Source organism: Homo sapiens, chromosome 14 (genome assembly GCF_000001405.40).
Source record: "Homo sapiens chromosome 14, GRCh38.p14 Primary Assembly".
Classification (NCBI taxonomy): Eukaryota; Metazoa; Chordata; class Mammalia; order Primates; family Hominidae; genus Homo; species Homo sapiens.
In genome coordinates, this window is record NC_000014.9 from 57,012,216 (window position 1) to 57,032,243 (window position 20,028).

At 37.6% G+C, this 20,028-nt stretch overlaps 1 long non-coding RNA gene across 1 annotated transcript in view, besides 1 other annotated feature; it reads right to left on the reverse strand.

Annotated features, from left to right (window-relative positions):
* The window catches only part of LOC124903323 (uncharacterized), a 63,861-nt gene extending 58,392 nt beyond the window's left edge, over positions 1-5,469 (reverse strand). Inside the window, exon 1 of the long non-coding RNA XR_007064191.1 lies at positions 3,180-5,469. This is a non-coding gene — a long non-coding RNA (uncharacterized LOC124903323). The remainder of the gene's footprint in view (positions 1-3,179) is intronic.
* Positions 17,306-17,957: an enhancer, noted in NCBI's record as "OCT4-NANOG hESC enhancer chr14:57496239-57496890 (GRCh37/hg19 assembly coordinates)". NCBI's record gives its function as "activates a minimal SCP1, AML or CMV promoter by ChIP-STARR-seq in naive H9 embryonic stem cells {active_cell/tissue: H9 hESC(naive)}" and the evidence as "EXISTENCE:reporter gene assay evidence [ECO:0000049][PMID:30033119]".

Below are 20,028 nucleotides of genomic sequence, written 5' to 3' on the forward strand. Positions count from 1 at the left end.
CATTCCTTTTTGTTACTAAGTAATATTCCATTATTTGGATATACCATGTTTTGTTTATCCATTGCCCAATTAGTGGATGTTTGAGTTGTTTCCAGTTTTTGCCTATTATAAATAAAAGTGTAAAGAACATCCTTGTAAAAGTCTTTGTATGAACATACGTTTTCATTACTCTTGGGTAAACACCTAGTAGTAGAATGGCTGGGTCTTACAGTAGGTATATGCTTAACTTTTGAAAAATTGCCAAAATGTTTTCCAAGGTGATTGTACTGTTTTACATTCTTACTAGTAGTGTATGAGAGTTCCAGTTGCCCCATGTCCTCTTCAACACTTGATGTTGTCAGTCTTAATTTTAGCCATTCTAATAAGTGTGTTATAGAATCTCATTATAGTTTTAATTTGCATTTCTCTATGATGAATGATATGTTTATTCACCATCCATATCTTATTTTGTGAACTGTTTGTTCAAATCTCTTTCCCACTTAAAATTTTTTTGTTTTATTGATTTGCAAGAGTTATTTTTGCATATATAAAATGGGAGAAAGAACATTTTCTTCCATTCTGTGATTCACTTTTTGTTTATTTAATGGTGTATTTTGAAGAACAAACATTTTAAATTTTGATAAAGTCCAATTTATCAATTCTATGTTTTATACCGTGTGCCTTTTTATAGCTTATGTAAGAAATATTTGCCTATCCCAAGTTTGCAAAGATTTTTTTCCTCTACATTTTGTTTAAAAAATTTTATAATTTCACCTTTTACATTTAGGTAGGTGATCTATTTTAGGTTAACTTTAGTGTATGAGGTAAGATAAAAGTCTGTGTTTAATTTTTTTCCCATTCAGATAATCAATTATTCCAGCACCATTTGTTGAAGAGATTTTTCCATTCCCTATTGGATTTCCTGGCACCTTTATTGAAACATCAATTAATCATATATATGGGTCTATTTCTGACTCCCTATTCTGTTTTATTGATCTATATATTTATCCTCTCATCAATTAAATTTTGTGATTTTATAGTAAGTGGAAATCAAGTAATGTTATTTTCCTATTTTTAATTTTTTTTATTTTCAGTTTTTGTGAGTACATAGTAGGTGTATATATTTATGGGGTATGTTTTGATACAGGCATACAATGCAAAATAATCACATCAGGGATAATGGGGTATTCAACCTCTCAAGCATTTATCCTTTGTGTTACCAACAATTCAATTCTACTCTTTTAGTTATTTTTAAATGTACAATTAAGTTATTATTGACTATAGTCACCTTGTTGTGCTATCAAATAGTAGGTCTTATTTATTCTTTCTAACTTATTCATTCTTTCCAACTTTTTGTGTACCATTAACCATCACCCGCCACCCCCATACTAGCCCCCAACTACCCTTCCTGACCTCTGGTAACCATCCTTCTACTCTCTGTGTCCATGAGTTCAATTGTTTTGATTTTTAGATCCTGCAGATAAGTGAGAACATGTGATGTTTGCCTTTCTGTGCCTGGCTTATTTCACTTAACATAATGATCTCCAGTTCCATCCATGTTGTTGCAAATGACTACATCTCATTCTTTTTTATGGCTGAATAGTATTCCATTATGTATATGTACCACATTTTCTTTATCCATTCATCTGTTGATGAGCACTTAGTTTGCTTCCAACTCTTAGCTATTCTGAACAGTGCTGCAACAAACATGGAGTGCAGATATCTCTTCAATATACTGATCTCCTTTAATTTCCAGTTGCTTGAGACTAGTATATAAATATATAATTGATTTTGTTATATTAACGTTGCATCTTATGATCTTACTAAATTTACTTATTAATTCTAATTGTTGTGTTCTAGATTCCTTAGAATTTTCTATATAAATAATCATGTCTTTAGCAAATAAGGAATTTTAATTCTTTCCTATCTAATATTTATGACTTTTATTTATTTATCTTGTCTTATTGCAATGGCGAGAGCCCCCAGTAAAATGTTAAGTAGAAGTAGTGAGAACAAACATCTGTACAATGTTCCCAATCCCAGAGGGAAAGCATTCAATTTCTTATCATTAAGCATATTAGCTGTAGGTTTCCTATGAATGCCCTTTGTTGAATTAAAGAATTTCCCTTTTCCTAATTTGCTGACAGTTATTTAAAATCATAAATTGATGTTGAATTCTGTCAAAAGCTTTTTATGACTATGGAAATTATTATATGTCTTTTCTCCTTTAATTGTGATTAAATACATCCCTTGTATTCCTGGGATAAACCTTCCTTGGTCATAATGTGTTCATTTTAAAAATACATTGTTGAATATGATTTATTAATATTTTTGTAAGAATTTTTGCTGCGAGTTTAGAAGGGATATTGATGTTGTATTTTCCTGTTGTTTTATTTTTTACAATGTCCTTGTCCATGTCAGTAGGGACATGATAGCTGTATAGCAGTGTGCTTATTTATTAGCTCTATATATTTATAATAAAACCCACAAAGGCTCAAGTCTGAAATATAAAAGGTACAGTCTTTTAAAGGAACTGTTTATTAGGAATAAACTGTGAAGAGGATGTGTTATTAAGGCCTCTGCTGAAATGTTAATGCAGAGGCCTTCCTGACCACCCTATCTAATATAATACTATCTGTTCATCAATCTTAGTTTCTTGCCATATTTTATTTTTCTTCATAACCCTCATCATGACCCAATGTGCTATATATTCACTTGTTTATTTGCTATGGTCTGTCTTCCCCATTAACATGTAAACTCCATGAGAAAAACATCCTGCCTGCACCCCCCCAACCCCCCACTTTTTTTTTTTTTTTACTTATCTCAACTCTTGGCTATTGTCTAGGATGGATTCTGGTGGATTTCCTCAAATATCTAGGATGTTGAGAAAGACTGCAAGAAAAATAAAGAACTGACCTTCCAATTGAAATGAGATGCCAAAAGACTGTGTGCTCTGGAGCCAGACTGCCTAGATTTGAATCCTGGCTGCACCATGTACTAACTACATGACCTTAGGCAAATTACTAAATTAGTTTTTGCTTCAGTTTTTCAATCTGTAAAATAGGCTATAGCACCCACCTCAAAAGGTTGTTATGAGAATTAAGTAAATTGATACATGTGAAACATTAAGAGCCTGACATCTCCGTTAGAGATCATAATAAATGGTCTCTAAATGTTTACAAAGTAAGTGATATGCATACCTTTCAGGTGGCCATGCATCTCTCCTGGACCCTTGGAATCAGAAGTTGGGCTGCCTTCACATCACGTATTCTTCTGGTGCATGCACTGCCAATCTTAGCTGCTTGATGCGTCTCCCGATCCATGCCTCAGCTCTAGAGTTGCAGTCCTTCCTCTAATGAAGATCAAAGTTTGCATTATCATTTCATGTCTGATAGGATGTTCCTTCTTTCTAAGATTTTTTATTTTATAAAGGTGTAATTTATATTTTTAAAAAATATCTTTTCTTTTTTTAACTTTTATGTTAAGCTCAGGGGTGCAAGTGCAGGTTTGTTACATAGGTAAACCTGTGTCATGGGGGTTTGTTGTACAGATCCTTTCATCACCCAGGTATTAAGCCTAGTACCCATTAATTATTTTTCCTGATCCTCTTCCTCCTCCCACCCTTTCACCCTCCAAAAGGCCCAAGTGTGTGCTATCCATTTAAGCTGTACCTGAATGGGTACAATTAAGGTGTATCCCAGTTTAGATAGTCCACAGCAATGAAATCTAAATGAGGTTCTTTTATGAATAAACTATTGGAAAATATCTGAATAACACCATGAGGGAATTTATATATAGAATGACTGACAATTAACTTAGATGTACCATGGTCTCATGTCAATATGAACTCTCCTTCCCTAGAGAGTTGATGGTGGACATCTTCTGCCAGGGTACTGCCTGTAGTTGTCTAGAGGTTTTACTGGGTCCCTCTGAGAATTGCTCCGTGTACTTTTATAGTACAAAAGGTTGCTGCCCTAACAGCAAGAAATGCCCTCTGTTGCTTCTGCTTTGTCAATACTTCCACCATTTATTTGCCATACACATTCCATACAATGCTAGGCTTCTCTCTCTTAGCTTATCAACTTCATGGCTGCTGAGCAAGAGGCAAATCTTTCTCAGTGGAGGAAACTATTTACTAAGTCCATTTAAAATCGAGCTAATATGAAGGATACTCCCTCCTCCAGAAAGTGAAAACAAACCTTACTGTAGTTTTTCCGTTTTCCACTTCAGAGTATCCTCTTGGATGAAAGAAAAGAACTAGGAGAAAAGATGCTATTCAGCAATAAAATACCACCTACTTCTCTATTAACTTTTTGTTAATGATGATATGTGTTACATTTGTTTAAAAAAGTCTAGCCAGAATTTATGAAAAATTAAGTAACTCAGCTTTTATTTCCATCATATCTATGGGGCAGACTAGTTAGTTGCAAGTAGGATTAAAATGTTGCTTCCTTCCATTCTGGACATCTTAGGTCGTCCCTGTACTAAACTCATCCTTAAGGACATGGTTCTTAGAAGATCAACTCTTTTAAGTTTAGTCCATCTTAAATTTCTTAATAATAATAATTTCAATAATCTTTTTTTTCTCCCAGAGACCAAGTCTCATTCTGTCATCCAGGTGCATCTTGGCTCACTGCAACCTCTGCCTCCTGGGTTCAAGTGATTCTCCTGCCTCAGTCTCCTGAGTAGCTGGGATTACAGACACCCACCACCATGTCTGGCTAACGTTTATATTTTTAGTAGAGACAGGATATTGCCATGTTGGCCAGGCTGGTCTGAAACTCCTGACCTCAGGTTATCTACCCACCTTGGCCTCCCAAAGTGCTGAAATTACAAGCGTGAGCCACCGCACCTGGCCTCTTCCAATAATCTTTAGATTTCTAAGCCTGTAGTGGAAGAATCCAAAGAGACTGATCCATGGTCTAGCTAGGGATTGGCCTCAACTCCACGGTGTAGATATTTAAAAACAAAACCAGAAAACCCTACATAAGCTCTGAATCTAAGGTGTGGGATGGGCCTTAAGGTCCCAGAATGATAAGTTATTGCTAATTCTATGAAGTCTTATCTTTCATTGAAGAAAAACCTTATTCCTAATATACTGCTAGATGCACTGAAATGCTATTTTCTATAAAGATCCACAAAAATGTAATCAAATAAGAAAAAAGATTAGACTTATTGTCCAATAATCTTCAGTCTTATTGCCTTGTTTCTGTAAATACTTATACTAGGCATATCTATCATTGCCTTTCCTGGCATGGTCCCTGCTCAGAGGCCATAAGTTATATTAACCCATCCCACGGGCACAGCTGATGATCAGAGTCAGACATCTGACCAATGGGACCCACCCATTTCTTTATCTTGTGAATTTGAACTAAGAGACAAACAGAGCAATTGCTAGAACTGGAAGGCCATTGGACACAGGAGTGGTGCCATGTTTTGCCACATGTGAGATGAGTAGACACTGCGTGATATGGTTGGGCTGTGTCCCCACCCAAATCTCATCTTGAATTGTAGCTCCCATAATTCCCACACGTCATGGGAAGGACCCAGTGGGAGGTAATTGAATCTTGTGGTGGGTCTTTCCCATGCTGTTCTCATGACACTAAATAAGTCTCCCGAGATCTGACGGTTTTATAAAGGGGAATTCCCCTGCACAAGCTCTCTTGCCTACCACCATGTAAGACATCTCTTTGCTCTTCCTTCGTCTTCCACCATGATTGTGAGGCTTCCCTAGCCATGTGGAACTGTGAGTCCATTGAACCTCTTTCCTTTATAAATTACCCAGTCTCAGATATATCTTTATTAGCAGCATGAGAACAGACTAATACACTGCGAGTCAGTCAATATAGAGAAGCAGGCAAACAGAGAAGATGCTGGAGAAAAGTAAAGACAAGAGATCTGCAGCCTAAGACAGAACAGACTTCATTTCTGAGGCTTTCCAGTCACTACAATACCACATTCAGCTTGATTTTCTATCCTCAGAGTCTGTAAGAACTAGATCTGTAATAAACTGCCTTTTATTTGTACCAGCTTGAGTGGGTTTATGTTACCTGCAAACAATAGAGCTTTGAAAACAGCATAGCTTTCAGTGCTTGAGAGCAGGCTTGGTGTCTTATTCAGCTCCACAGACCGACCAGAAGAGCACAGTGACAGATACACAGTGAGGACTTGGCAAATGGGTTGAAATTCATGACTGTGACTATTTTTTTTATTTTCAATCTTTCTAAGTGTTTTCTACCATACAATTTCACTCACCCTTAGAGTAACCCTGTTATGTTTATTTTCTTTAACAACAGAAAAATAAAGTTCCAAAAACCCACCAGTTTTATAAGTAAGAAGAAGGATTATGCATAGAGTCATTTGGGGGCAACAGGAAGGCCTCATAGCCACACTTCTCTCTTCCTTATCTTGTCGTTTCTGAAATATGATTAGAATTATTCCTGAAGTCACTTCGATCTTCCAAGTCTCTTACTGAAATACAAATATCTAGGCCAGTATTTCCCAAAATGTGTTCTGCAGAATTCCAATCTCTCAAGATCTTCCATGGAAAAATAAGGGACAGAGACAAATGAGTAGGGAGCCACAGTATTCTATATTCTTATCTTGAGAGTCCCAAGGCCCTGTAGCATACTAAAGGCTCTGAGAAGTCTCACGGTAAAAAAATGGTACTTCTGCTAGTTTCGGGGCAGGTGAATATGGCACAGTCATTAAGGACACTGTCTGGCTTAGAACTGTGACTCTGCCACCCAACAGTTGTGTGACTTAGACAAAGTGAAGATTATAGTAGCCCCTCCCTCACAGGGGGTATTGGGACAATTCAATAAGGTGATGAGTATAAAACACTTAGCCCCTGACCAGCTCAAAGAAGTACTTAAAATGTTAGCTGTTTTTAGTGAGCCGAGATTGCGCCACTGCACTCCAGCCCGGGTGACAGAGCGAGACTCCGTCTCAAAAAAAAAAAAAAAAAGTTAGCTGTTTTTATTATTAATGTCGCATTTTCTAAACTTAGACTGTGCCTGTTAAACGCAAATCACCTATTGACACCTCTCAGACTGCATTCTTTGGGGGATATTAGGAGGAAGAAAAGCTATTTAAGAAAGAAAGGGACCAAGAACCACTGAAATGGAAGGGAGTGAAATGAACAAAGGTGACTTTGCTAATTTATAATTCTGTTTAATTTAGCAATTGTAAATTTAGATATAGCCTTCTTTCTAATCCTAGTACAGTGCTAGGCTTACAGCAGGCATTTAATAAAAAGATCTGCCATTTAATTAAGTTAAAATATAAAAGCAGGGCTGGGCATGGTGGCTCACACCTGTAATCCCACCACTTTGGCAGGCCAAGGCAGGAAGACCACCTGAGGTCAGGAGTTCAAGACTAGCCTGGCCAACTTGGCAAAATCCAATCTCTACGAAAATAAAAAAATTAGCCAGGCGTGGTCGTGGGCGTCTGTAATCCCAGCTACTCGGGAGGCTGAGGCAGGAGAATGGCTTGAACCCAGGAGGCGGAGTTTGCAGTGAGCCAAGATTGTGCCACTGCACTCCAGCCTGGGCAACAGAGCGGGACTCTGTTGCAAAAATAAAGTAAAATAAAATAAAAATAAAATAAAGGCAGATTTATTTTAACTCTGCTGTGTGCTGTTATCTTCCTTCTTCAGAGCAAGAAAAACTTCCTGATCTAGAAAAAATCCTAGAAAGTACTGGCAATCCAGACGTTATAAAGTGGCCTTAGAGTTAGTCCAGAGCCACAGAAATACTTTCAGTGCTCCAGAGATGGCAAAGTGAAGGTAAAAGCATCTTCCTCACCATTTCTTACTTTCTTCAGGCTCTGAACATAAGGCCAAACTCCAGCACCAGCACTAAAGCAAAGTAAAACAGCAGCAGCCCTGCTAGTTAGAAAACAAAGGGTAAACAAGTAGAGACTAGACTGATCCTAGCTTTGCTGCAGTTTTAACTGCTTTTGTGTTGAGGCTATACACAGGGGTGTAACTAGTGTTACCTCAGTCTTATATAACAAATTAGCAGCACCTTTTCAAAAGAAAAATGATAATAACTCGGTGGGGAAAAAATGTAAAAGGCCTTTCATTGTATTGTTTCAGATACACCCAAATGAAGAACATATAATTAAGGGTAGAGAAACCCAGCTCTGGCTGAAGTTTGATAAATATCTCCAACTCTCAAACCAGTCTGCAAGTGTTCACTTCTCATTAAATGTGTCATTGCTTTTGTGGCCAGCACCTCTCCTTTGCTTTTCGTGAGATAGACAGGCAGACTCTCAGACACAATGATGCATACAGAGGAAATTTACGATGGCCATTCAAATATATTAACTCTTCAAAAGCCCCTTATGTGTGTTACATCTCTCATCATGGGCAGGTACAGGAAAGCGAATACACACTAAGGGCTTGAGAATGCATGGGAAGAAGGAAGACTAAACAGTTAAAGACAGTATGCATTGGAGTGGAGAGCATGGATTTTATTTATTTATTTATTTTTTACTTCAAATATATAATTTTTTATTTTTTCCTTTTTCTTGCACAAAGGTAGCATATTACATGCTCTTTGTACTTCACCTTTTTTACTTAATAATATCTCTGGAAATCACTCCATATCTGTTGATAGAGATTTTCTTCTTTCTTTGTTTTTTTTTCTTTTCTTTTCTTTTTCTTTTTTTTTTGGTGTCTACATAATTCATAGTCATGTTATTTTATTTATTTATTTATTTATTTTATTTTTCTACTTTAAGTTCTGGGATACATGTGCAGAACGTGCAGGTTTGTTACATAGGTATACATGTGCCATAGTGGTTTGCTGCACCCATCAACCTATCATCTACATTAAGTATTTGTCCTAAGGCTATCCCTCCCCTAGCCCCCCAACCTCCCAGTGTGTGATGTTCCCCTCCCTGTGTCCATGTGTTCTCATTGTTCAACTCCCACCTATGAGTGAGAACATGCGTTGTTTGGTTTTCTGTTCTTGTGTTAGTTTGCTGAGAATGGTGGTTTCCAGGAGAGTATGGATTTTAGAATCAGAAATACCTGGAATCTCAATTTTGGTCCCACTACATAGTAACAACCTGGACAGATACCTCTCCAGCTTCGGTTTACTGAAGGTCATGATATCTAAGTTTCTAGGTCGTTATAAGGATGAAATTAGATAGTATATGCGGAATGTTTAGGACTGGGCCAGGTACATAGCCATAATAGTGAACATTTAATGAGCACTGTGTTCCCAGAATTGTGCTAAATGCTTTAAATGAATTATTTCACTTAATCCTCAAGATAATCTTTCAGGAGTAGATGCATTGATTATCTCTTATTTATAGGCGAGGAATCTGAGGATTAGAGACATTGGGTAATTGGCCTAAGAAAATGCTTTGAGTCCACATTCAGCTCACCACAGAGAACTCACTCCTGGCTCCCATATATTAATGCAATAGAGTAAGATGGTGGTTACTTTATTTATGGAAAACTCACAATGTGGCTGGAGCTTTGCAAATTTCACAAGTAATTCATTTAATACTTACATTAAATATTCAATTTCACTTCCCATTCTGCAGATGAGGAAATTAAGGCATTAAGAGATCAAATATGACCCTCAAGCAGGGCTGGCCTCATGGACCTTGTGCTTTGAAGGGCCTAATGCTCATTTAACGCTCTGCTATTGCCATCTTGAAATTCTCAAGCATCTTTGGAGAAGGGGACATATATATATAAATTGTTTTAATGTTTGCACGGGGCTCTGCAGGTTAAGCATCCAGTCCTGCCCTCAAATCTTTTCCTTCTGCACTGTACTCCCAAAGATTCTGGAATTTAACCTGGAGCAAGGGGGCCACTCCATTCTCTGAGGGCAGCATTAATAGCATCATATCTCTTTGGGATCCTAGAAACAGAAGCTCACAAATTAAAGTTTGCAATTACTGTCTAATGACAGGACAGTCTTAGAAAATGAATGGAATGGTAATAGAGTTAGAGCAGGAAATAAAAAACATGCTTTTATACTGCATTCTTGTAAGTACTCTCTACAGGATAGGAAACTTTCTCTCTCTTTTAAATGTTAATGGCATCACTAACATAAATTATACTATCAAAGAATAAATGCCCACCTGCACACTACCATTCTGGCCAGTAGAACCTGGAGAAAAAATGCCAAACAGATAAGAAAATCAAGATTTATAGTGGCACTATGGCTAAGATGCTGGCTTAATGTGTATTATAGAGTAAGAACTTGGTGTCTGGTTCATTTAATACTAGTAGAAATAGAGCATTTAATCACTATCAAACTTTGGTACGAGACACCAAGAACACCTCCAAATAGAAGACATTGTCAGAGCATTTTCACTTGCCTTCATCTCCTGGTTCTTTGCACTTAGCCTTCTTCTCTCCTGCCACAGGAAGGCTCTCTACCAATGGCAGGAAGATGGCTGCAGCCTACCGAAGGCTTGCATCCTTGTTGCTTGTAATCCACTTGAAAAAGTAACCATCTCTCTCCTAGATCAAATTATATGGAAAGGCTTGAGTTGGCTTTAACTGAGACAAGTATTTATGTGTTAGGCCAATCAATGTGAACAAGGGACTAGGGTCACGTGCCAAGCCTGGGTCACATGCACACCTATCACCTATGAAGCAAGAAGTAGGTAGGACACTTTGATTGACAAGGCCAGCAGATACAGTTGCTTTAGTTATTTCTACAGTATTTCGTTGTTTATCTGAAATTCAAATTTAGCCGGGCGTTCTGTATTTTATCACATGAGACGGAGGCAGAGCAGTTGCTGATAGAACAAGAAGTTGTGGAGTAACAGAAACAATATTTCCGAAAGAGGGAATACAGCTTGGTCCTATTGGTTTCTTATTCGGGCCCAAAAGGCTTGATCTTCGTTCCAGATTCCAGGGCAAAATGCAGTCCTTTCTGGCTAAGTTCTAGCTATAACCCCCTTTTCAGGGTCAAATGATCCCCTTATGCACAGCATTACCATTTGATGCTCTAAGTGGATGATTTTTGCCATCACTGATTTCTACGTCCAAAAGCTGCTGAAATTCAACTTAAAACTTTAAATTCATTTTTTGTAATCAAATGAGTGTTAATGAATCCTACCAGATGACAGTGCTTATGCCATTAATGCCTTGGTATTTATGATGTTTAAAGTTCACTGTAACATTTTGTTTTTAAATAGAACTAAAAGATTTGTTGTCATTTTCTTTTCTTTGTTAACAAACCAGGATATACTTTTAAAAATGTCGAGGCAAAAAAAATTTATTTTGCCAAAGGCCCATACTGTCAAATCCTATTGCAGAAATTAATCTATTTAATTAAAAAATATTTAAGGGAACTTTAGCCAATGGCTCAGATATTGCAAACAATATGGGATAAGACTTAAATTATTGCGCAAAAGAAAAACTTGGATGGTCCTCTGAAACATGTTGAAATGTAATTTATTCTTGAAAATCAGGCTCAAGTACTGTGACTTTTAGGTATATTTAAAAACGAAGATAAAAAATGTCCTTTTCTTCCTCTCTGTCTTCTGGCGGTTGTTCTGCCCTCCCTTGAATTCTCATCCTCATGTAAAGCATGATAAAAATGTAGAAAAAAATCTAGAACTGCACAGTCCAATAGAAATATAATGTAAGCCAAATACATAATTTAAATTTTATAATAGCCACATTTTAAAAAGTAAAAAGAAACAAGGCCAGTCACAGTGGCTCATGCCTGTAATCCCAACAGTTTGGGAGGCCAAGGCAGGCAGATCACTTGAGCCCAGGAGTTTGAGACCAGCCTGGACAAAATGGTGAAATCCCGTCTCTACAAAAAACACAGAAATTAACCAGGCATGGTGGCGAGCACCTGTGATCCCATCTACTCATGAATTAGTTCATTCTTACATTGCTATAAAGACATACCTGAGACTGGGCAATGTATAAAGGAAAGAGGTTTAATTGACTCACAGTTCCACATGGTTGTGGAGGCCTCAGGAAACTTACAATCATGGTGGAAGGCAAGAGAGAAGCAAAGCCACCTCCTTCACAAGGTGGCAGGCGGGACAGAGTGATGAGTGAAAGGGGAGGTGCCCCTTATAAAACCTCCAGATCTCGTGAGAACTCACTGTCATGAGAACAGCATGGGGGAAACCACCCCCATGATCCAATCACCTCCCACCAGGTCCCTCCCTCAATACATGGGAATTATGGGGATTACGATTCAAGATGAGATTTGGGTGGGGACACAGAGCAAAACCATATCAACTTGGGAAGTTGAGATGGGAGGATCGCTTGAGCCCAGAAGGTTGAGGTCACAATGAGCTGTGATTGCGCCTGGATGGATGACAGAGGAAAAAAAAAACAAAAAAGAAAGAAAAGAAAAGAAAAAGAAAAGAAACAGGTGATAGCAATTTTAACAGTACCTTTTATTTAACCTAACATATCCAAAACATTTTTATTTTAACATGTAATCAATATAAAAATTTTTAATATTTTACATTTTTTATACTTATGACACATCTCAATTTGAACACTCACCCTTGACTGGAAATAGTTAATCTACATTTAGATTTCATAAAATTTACAGGGGGAAAAACTAGATTCACAAACCCAAGTTGCTCTAAAACTGTTTTATAATTTTCCAGGAACTGAATTGAGTATTAGTTTTAAATTTTAAATGTAAATTAAAATTAAATGAAACTAAAAACCCAGGCCAGGCGCAGAAACTCACATCTGTAATCCCAGCACTTTGGGAGGCCAAGGCAGGAGGATCACTTGAGCCTAGGTGTTTGAGACCAGCTTGGGCAACAAGGGAGACTCCGTATCTACAAAATAAAAAAGAAATAAAAAGAAAACCTAGCTGGGGATGGTGGTATGTGCCTGTGGTCCCAGCTACTGGGGAGGCTGAGATGGGAGGATCACTTGAGACCAGGAGGACAAGCCTGCAGAGAGCCATGATTATGCCACTGCACTCTGGTCGACAGAGGGAGACCCTGTTTTAAAAAACAAAACAAAACAACAACAACAACAAAACACTTAAAAATTCAGTTCCTCAGTCACGATAGCCACATTTGGGTACCACATGTGTCTAGTGGCTACCATATTGAATAGCAAAAAACTAGAGTCACTTCACTTTCTAATGGGATTTTGAAAAATTATTCCAACTTTAAATGAACCACACATGAACAATTTATTTATATGTTTAAGGATTCTTGCTGTATTAGTTTTCTATTGCTGCTGCAATAAATTACCACAACCTTCATAGCTTAAAACTGCACAGATTTATTATTTTGCAATTCTGGAGGTCAAAAGTCTGATACAGGTCTCATTGGGCTAAAATCAAGGGTTGGCAGGGCTGTGTTCCTTCTGGAGGTTCTGGAAGAGAATTCATTTCCTTTTTTTAGAGGCTGCCTACATCACTTGGATCATGGCCCCTGTCCCCTATCTTCTTGACCACCAGTACTGCATCTCTCTGACCAGACTTCCATTGTCATATCTCCCTCTGACCACATTTTAATAGGTGTGTGGTGGTATCTCATTATGGTTTTAATTTTCATTTCCTTTTCCATGTGATAATTCACTATCTGTATGTCTTTTTTAGTGAAGTGTCTATTAAACTCCTTTGCCCATATTTAAACACTGTTTGTTTTCCTATGATTCAATCTGGAGAATTCTTATATTCCAGCTGTAAGTCCTTTATCAAATGTATAATTTGCAAATGCTTTCTCAAAGTCCTCAGCTTATTTTTCTTTCTCTCTTTTTTTTTTCTTTCTCTCTCTCTTTCTTTCTTCCTCTCTCTCTTTCTTTCTTCTTTCTTTCTCTCTTTCTTCTCCTTTCTTTCTTCTTTCTTTCTTTTTTTCTTTTTCTTTTTTTTTTTTTGAAGTGAAGTCTTCCTCTGTCGCCCAGGCTGGAGTGCAGTGGTGCGATCTTTGCTCACTGCAACCTACACCACCCGGGTTCAAGCTATTCTCCTGCCTCAGCCTCCCCAGTAGCTGGGATTACAGGGTTGTGCCACCACGCCTGGCTAATTTTTGTATTTTTAGTAGAGACGGGGTTTCACCATGTTGGCCAGGCCGGTCTCGAACTCCTGACCTCAAGTGATCTGCCCACCTCGGCTTCCCAAAGTGTTGGGATTACAGGTGTGAGCTACTGCACCTGGCCCAGTACTTAAGATATTCTTTTAAGAATATCTTTCAAAGAGCAGACGTTTTCAAGTTTGAAGTCAAATTTATCGTAGTATTCTTTTCTGGATTGTGCTTTCGATGTCACATCTAAGAAATCTTTGCCTAGCTAAAGTCACAAAAATTTTCTCCTTTGTTTCCTTCTAAAGGTTTTGTAGTTTTACATTTAGATCTATGATCCATCTTGAGTTATGTTTTATATAATACATGGTGCAAGGTATGGATCTTTTTTGTGTATGTGGATATCCAATTGTTACACCATGTTTGAAAGACTATCCTTTCTTCACAATTGGGTTTGCACCTTTCAAATCAATTGGTTCCATTTCTAAACTCTATTCTGTTTCATTTTTATGTTGATATTACACTATCTTGATTACCATAGCCTTAAAATTAAAGTCTTGAAATAATGTAAATCTTCCAACTTTGTTCCTTTTCAAAGTTCTTTGGACTATTTTAGGTCCTAGGAATTTTAGAATTAGCATATGAATTTCTGAAACAAAAAATACGTGGGGGATTTTGATTGAAAGTGAGTTGAGTCTACAGATCAGCTTGAGAGAAATGTACATCTTAACAATTTTGTGTCTCTGAGCTGTGAACATGGTGTCTCTATTTATTTAGGTCTTCTTTAATATCTCTCTGTAGTATTTTAAAGATTTCAGTGTGTGGGTCTTGTCTGTCTTTTCTCAGGTTTATCATTAAGTATTTACTTTTTGGTGTTTTAAAATATTCTATTCTTATATCTTCCAAACTTGCTAAACTCACTTATTAATTCAGTAACTTTTTGTGGATTTCATCACATGCTCAACATAGATGATTTACGAATAAACAGAGGTTTACAGTTTCCTTTCTAATCTTGCTGCCTTTTCCTTTTTTTTCTCTTGCTCTATTGCACTGGTTAGAACCTCTAATACAATATTGAATACAGGTGGTAAGAGCAGGCATCTCTGTTAACTCCTGATCTTATGTGAAAAGCATTCACCCTTTCACTAAATGTGATGTTAGCTATAGATTTTTCATAGACGCTTTTTATTAGATTGAGGAAGCTTCTTTCTATTTCTAGTTTGCTAAGAGTTTTGTGTTGTATGTGTGCTTTTTGTTTTTTTTTTTTTGAAATCAGCAATGGATGTTAGCTTTTGGTCAAATGCTTTTTCTGTATCATCTGAGATGATCATATGGTTTTTCTTTTTTAGCTTGTTAGTGTGATAAAATATTGATTGATCTTTGAATATGAAAGCAACCTTGCCTTTGTAGAATGAACTCCATTTGGTCATGATATGTTGCCCTTTTCATATACTGTTTGATTTGCTAGACTTTTGTGAAATTTTTTGCATCTGTGTTCATAAGAATACTGATCTGCAGTTTCTTTTCTTATAATATCTTTGGTTTTGGTATCAGGGTAACGCTGGCCTCATAAAATGAATTGGGAAATACTTTCCTTCAATTTTTCAGAAAGAGTTTATATAGAGTCAGTCTTTTTTTTTTCTCTCTCTCTTAATTGTTGATCAAATTCATCAGTGAAACCATCTGGGCCTGGAGGTTTTTTTGTGAAAAAAAATTTAACTGTAAATTCAATTTTTTTCATAGAAATAGAGTAGTTTGTATCTTTCAAGGGATTTGTTCATTTTAGAATTTTTTGACATAAAGTCTTTATAGTAATCCTCTACTGTCTTTCTAATACCAGCAAGATCTCTAGAGATGTCACTTTTCTCATTCCTGATATCAGTAATTTGTGTCTTCTCCCCTCACCTCCCCAAAATCAGTTTGGCTAGGGGCTTATTGATTTTATCGATTTTCTCAGATAACTAACTTTTACTTTCATTGATTTTCTCTATTGTTTTTCTGTTTTCTATTTCACTGATTTCCCTTCTCATCTTTATGATTCCCTCTTTTATGTTTACATTGGGTTTAACTTTCCTTTTTTTTAAAACTTCTAAAAGTGGAAGAAAAGTCACTGAGTTGATACTTTCAGTGCTATAAATTTCTAAGTACTCTCTCAGCTGCATATTACCAAAGTTGATATACAATATTCTCATTTGCATTCACTTCAAAACATTTTGTAAATTCACATCTGATTTTTTTTTTTTTAATTTAGAGACAGAGTCTTGCTATGTTGCTCAGGCTGGAGTGCAGTGGAGAGTAGAACACAGTATGCTCCAGCCTCAAACTCCTGGGCTCGAGGGATCCCCCCTGCAACAGCCTCCCAAGGAGCTGGGACCATAGGCACGTGCCAATGTACTCGGCTCTTCATTTGATTTCCAGACCCATGGTTAATTTAGATATATGTTATATTATTTTTCAACATTCACCAAGTTTCCAGTTATCTTTCTGCTATTGATATCTAGTTTAATTAGATCATAATCAGAGAACATATTTAAACCTCTTGAGCTCAGTGATCCTTTTACCTCAGCCTCCCCAGGAGCTGGGACCACAGGCATGTGCCACCATGCTGGGCTAATTTATTATGGTTTTTTTTGTAAGTCCTCTAACTTTATTTTTCTTCCAAGTTCTTTGGACTATGTAGTCCAGGATGGTCTCGAACTCCTGGGCTCAAAGGATCCTCCCACCTTGGCCTCCCAAAGTGTTGGGATTATAGGCATGAGCCACTGCACTCAGCCCCTCCTTTCAAATGTATTCAAGTTGCCCCATAGCTCATTGATATGCCAATCCTATCTTTTTTTTCTTTTTCTAACCAGTCTTTTTCCCTCTGTTTCATTTTGGATTGTTTATATTGCTATGACTTCACATTCAGTAATCTTTCCTTCTGCAATGTCCAATCTTTTGTTAATCTCCCTACCTCCAATGTATTTTTCACCTCAGACATTGCAGTTTTCATCTCCAGAAGTTTGATTTGAATCTTTTTAATATCCTCTGTGTCATTCCTTAACATGTCAATCTTTGTTGTAGTCTGATGAACACATGGAATAGAGTTATAACTGTTTTAATGTCCTTGTCTGTTAATTCCATCATGAGTATTATTTTCTGGGTCAGTTTCTATTAATTAATTTTTCTTCTCATCCATAAGTTATTAATATATTTTCCTGCTTCTTTACATGACTGGTAATTTTTTATCAGATGCCTGACATTCTGAATTTTAATCTGTTGGATGCTGGATATCTTTGACTTTTATAAATGTTTTTGAGCTTTGATCTGGGATGGAATGAAGTTATTTGGAAATAGTTCGATCCTTTTAGGCCTTGCTTTTAAGCTTTGTTAGGTGGGACCAGAGCAGTATTTAGTGTAGGGCTAATTTTTCCCTACTACCTTTCAGAATACCCTACCAATGTTCCATGAATTATGAGGTTTTTTTCACTCTGGCTGGTGGGAATAGGATATATTCCAGGCCCTGTGTGAGCTCGGAGGATTGTTCCCTATAATTCCTTTAAGTGGTTCTTCCCTCAGCCTCAAGCAGTTTCCTCACATTCATGTGCTGATCCTTTCTCAGCTGGAGCCTTAAGGGAGACCATCTGCAGATTTTCTGAGCTCCTTCTCTGTGAAGCTTTCTCCTCTCCATTGCTCAGCCCTGTGAACTCTAGCCACGTTAGGCTTTCCAGACTTTTAGTTCCTTCTCCCCAACTTAGGGAAACTGGGGCTCTGCTTGGGTCCCTCATCCAAAACTACAGTCCAAATATCTCTCCAAACAGTAAGCTGACATCATCATGTGGATCACTTTGTGTGTGTGTGTATGTGTGAGACAGGGTATCACTCTGTTGCCCACACTGGAGTTCAGTGATGCAATCATGGCTCATTGCATCCTCAACCTTCTAGGCTCAGGCAGTCTTCCCACTTCAGCCTCTCAAGTAGCAGGGACCATAGATGCACACCTGGCTAATTTTTAATTATTTTTTGTAAGGATGGGATCTTGCCATGTTGCTCAGGCTGGTCTTGAATTCCTGGGCTCCAGTGATCCTCTCACTTTGGCCTCCTAAAGTCTTGGGATTACAGGTGTGGCCACTGCACCTGGCCCAGATTATTTATTTTGTTTCCTGTCTCTCAGAGGTCACTGTCTTTTGTTACCTGCTGCCTGATATATTGTTTTGTTTTCCTTTCTATTATCATCCCTTATCTGGAGAAAGGGACCAGTGTTTTTATATCCAATTAGTTTATATACTTTGTCTGGGTGGTTTTTCTGTTTTCTTTTGTTTTTAGTTATTTCATGTGGAAGATTAAGTCCTATCCCTATTATTCCATCTTGGTCACATGTGAAAGTCTTAAAATACATATGACTGTATTGCATTTTTTCTATTAGGGATTATATTGATCTTCTACTTTTAAAATTATATTTATAAGTACATTTTATTATCTATGAGTTTTATTTCAGGATATGTATCAGTCAGGGTCCACTCAGGAGACAAAACCATACCAGTTATTTGAACAGAAAGAATTTGATACAAAGAATGGTAAGCTATACAAAATTATCAACTCAGTAACTAAACAGCTAAAAAGGGAGACATATACCCTCTCACAGACACAGCAACTGTAGGCAGCAGCTACCACTACTAGGGCTGGGAAAACAAAGAGAAGAGTTTGGAATTAATAAAACTTAGGAACATAGAGGTGGGGCCCTATGGAGATGAAACTCAGCCTCTGAGAAAGAAGCACTACCTGTCTAGTGCTGTGTTAGCATTGGGAGGAGGAGCCTTGTGGGGTTGAGGCCTGAACTTCTGAAGAATGATGCTGGTTGGCTGGTGCATGCATCTTTGAGCAGGAGTGGGATGAAGGGTTGGGAAAAACAGCAAGTAGGATCCAACCACTGATTTGGGAAGGAATTATCATTCCCAAGGTGAAGAAGCAAGCCTGGGTGATGTGCACAAGCAGACAGGAAGTCCACAGGAAATAGGAAGGAAAACATCCTTCTTCCTGTCCTAACCCCATTATTTCTCTTTAGTGCCCTTTATTGGCAGACTCTAACATGAAGCCAGCAAATAAGGCACAAATGTGGTTTTCAGAGTCCCAGATCCAGTACCACAAAGCAAAGTACAGAAAGGTGGATTTGGAGTTGAGAAAAAAGTTGTAACTGGCACCGTGTATGTGGCAGATTTGAACTGTGTCTATTTAGCTAAGCTAGAACTAATTTCCCCAAATTCTCTTCTCTGCAATGTTCCAGATTAGTATCAGCTAAAAAAACAAACAAACAAACAAACAAAAAACAAAACAAAACAAAAAAACAAAAAAAGACTTTTGTGAGCAATTTGAAGGATGGAAGTGAAAAAAAAAACCGGCTTTATTTTTCTCATCCTCTGAAGATTGAAACAGGGAAAGGAGTGCTTTCACATCTCACATATGTGGTCCTTACCTGCTGACTTGCCAGGTTGGTGAGCCCACAGCAACTCCAGCTCCTGCAACTTCCTCTTTCAGCTTCCCTGATACCTGGGCCAGGTGCATGTTTAGCTTCATGGTAAAGAGCACCAGTTTCAGCAGGATGCCTGCAGGGTTGAACTGGAAGCCTGGAGGTTGTGAAAGTCAAATATGGAGTCTAGTCCATCCTCATGTTTCCAGCTCAGCCTCATAGATTCTAGTTTATCACTACTTTCCTTATTTCATATCCATCTTTGCTTCCCAACTACTTGCCCTGTGGACTTGAGGTTTTAGCACTAAAGACACAACAGCCTCATATAGACTCTCACCAGATACCACAGTTCATAAGGTCAATAAATCCCCAATTTTCCACATGTGCTGTGTGTGTTTGTGTGTGTGTGTGTGTGTGAGAGAGAGAAAGAGACTGAGAGACAGTGAGAGGAAGAGAGAATATATGTATCCCAGTGGTTCTGCTTTCCTTCTGATAAAATTCTTACAGACACAGTATAGAAAAGGGAGCGTTACAAAATGTTTATTGTTTAAAAGAGTACCATTGGCTCTCAGGATTCAGTCCCACTGTTTTAGGGCACTCTTTGGCCA